The sequence below is a fragment of the Homo sapiens genome, chromosome 3 (genome assembly GCF_000001405.40).
Source record: "Homo sapiens chromosome 3, GRCh38.p14 Primary Assembly".
NCBI lineage: Eukaryota > Metazoa > Chordata > Mammalia > Primates > Hominidae > Homo > Homo sapiens.
The window spans coordinates 184,069,176-184,071,630 of NC_000003.12; the positions used below are offsets into that span (position 1 = coordinate 184,069,176).

At 40.7% G+C, this 2,455-nt stretch overlaps 1 annotated feature.

Moving 5' to 3' along the window:
• Positions 1,992 to 2,192: a silencer, noted in NCBI's record as "peak4963 fragment used in MPRA reporter construct". NCBI's record gives its function as "represses an SCP1 promoter by STARR-seq MPRAs in K562 erythroleukemia cells {active_cell/tissue: K562}" and the evidence as "EXISTENCE:reporter gene assay evidence [ECO:0000049][PMID:32103011]".

A 2,455-nucleotide genomic window follows, 5' to 3' on the forward strand; every position in this document is an offset into this window, starting at 1 on the left:
AGGTCCCAGGCCAAGCCTTCACTTCAGCCTCTGATTAGTTCTTTAAACTATCATACCTCTTTCTGAATGGTGCTTTTTCCAAGCCTACCTATAAACCAATCAGCACACATTTCCCCATTCTAAGCCCATAAAAATCCCAGACTCAGCCTCACAGCCAGCAACCCAGTCCCGGGTCCCCTCTCACTGCTGAGAGCTTTCTTTCTGTTGTTCAATAAAATTCTACTCTGGGCCGGGTGCAGTGGCTCACACCTGTAATCCCAGCACTTTGGGAGGCCGAGGTGGACAGATCACCTGAGGTCAGGAGTTCGAGACCAGCCTGGCCAACATGGTGAAACCCCATCTCTACTAAAAAATAAAAAAAATTAGCTGAGTGTGGTGGCGTGCACCTGTAATCCCAACTACTCAGGAGGCTAAGGCAGGAGAATTGCTTGAACCTGGGAGGCAGAGGTTGTGGTGAGCTGAGTTCATGGCATTGCATTCCAGCCTGGGCAACAAGAATGAAACTCTATCTCAAAAAAAAATATTAATTAAAATTAAAAATAAAATAAAATTCTACTCTGCCTTACTCACTCTCCAGTGTCAGTGTACCTCATTCCTCCTAGTCATGACATAAGAATTTGGAACTTGCCGAACTGCAGGAGTGAAAGAGCTGTAACACTCCATCCCGCTCACCAAACTATGGGAGCGAAGAAGCTGCAACATTTCTTTTCCTGAATTGACTGTAGCTGGACTTTTCCTATTTTTTTTTTTTTTTGAGACGGAGTCTTGCTCTGTCACCCAGGCTGGAGTGCAGTGGCACAGTCTCAGCTCACTGCAAGCTCCGCTTCCTGGGTTCACGCCATTCTCCTGCCTCAGCTTCCCGAGTTGCTGGGACTACAGGCACCCGCCATCATGCCCAGCTAATTTTTTGTATTTTTAGTAGAGGCGGGGTTTCACCATGTTAGCCAGGATGGTTTCAATCTCCTGACCTCATGATCCGCCCGCCTCAGCCTCCCAAAGTGCTGGGATTACAGGCGTGAGCCACAGCACCTGGCCCCATTTTTTTATTGAGTCTTTTCTTTCTTAATTTGTAGGAGGAGTGCCTTATATTAAGATTAGTCTGTTGCTAGGATACGAATTGCAAATACTTTTTCCTAATTTGTAATTTGCTTTTGATTTAGCTAAAGAGTTTTTGTCATGCAGAAAGCTTTTCTTTTTTGGTATAATTGGATTTATTAATGCTTTGTTTTATGAGTTCTGGATATTGAGATGTAGTTAGAAAATATGTGACACTTTCTATTGGAAATTTGGCTTTATAGATCAAAATTAAATATGACCTAGCAATTCCATTTCTAAGAATTTATCTTACATTTATACTTAAATATACATACACACACACCCAAATGTTTGTTGCAGTGCTGCTTTCTATATAAAAAATGGGAAATTTCCATTAATAACACACTAGTTAATAAATCATGGTACATCCATACAATGGAATGCTACGCTACTGGTAAAAAAAAGAATGAGAGGATTTGTGCTTCAAGCAATGTGGTGAGTTAGGAATTCTAAAACAGCCTTTGGCTGGTACAAAGTACTAAGTTGTTGGACAAATTATAGTAAATATGCTGTAAAAAGTACTCTTGACACCAATAAATGAACAGGTAAACAAAATGTTGTATGTGCGTTCAATGAAATATTATTCAGCCTTTCAAAGGACAGAAGTTCTGACCCATGCTACACCATGGATGAAACTTGAGGACATTTTGCTGAATGAAATAAAGTCACGAATAGACAAAAAATGTATGAGCCCATTTATATGAGGTACCTACAGTAGTCAAATTCACAGAGACAAAAAGTAGAATGGTGGTTGCCAGAAGCTGGGGGAAAGGAGGAGAGGGGATATAGAGTTTTAATTCTGAAAGATGAAAAGAGTTTTGAAGATTGGCTGTGCAACAATGTAAATGTACTTAACACTACTTAGCTGCACACTTAAAAATGGTTAAGACAGTAAATTTTATGTTATGTGTTGTATTAGTTCGTTTTCACGCTTCTGATAAAAACATACCCGAAACTGGGAACAAAAAGAGGTTTAATTGGACTTACAGTTCCACATGGCTGGGGAGGCCTCAGAATCATGGTGGAGGGGGAAAGGCACTTCTTACATGGTGGCGGCAAGAGAATGAGGAAGAAGCAAAAGTGGAAACCCCTGATAAACCCCTCAGATCTCGTGGAACGTGTTCACTATCACGAGAATAGCACAGGAAAGACTGGCCCCCATGATTCAATTATCTCCCCCTGGGTCCCTCCCACAATGCATGGGAATTCTGGGAGACAGAATTTAAGTTGAGATTTGGGTGGGGACACAGCCAAACCATATCATGTGTATTTGCCACAATTACATTTTTCTTTTAATTTTTAAGAGTTTTAAAAATCTGCACTTCAGAATAAGCATATCTTTATATTTCTTGAGAAAAAA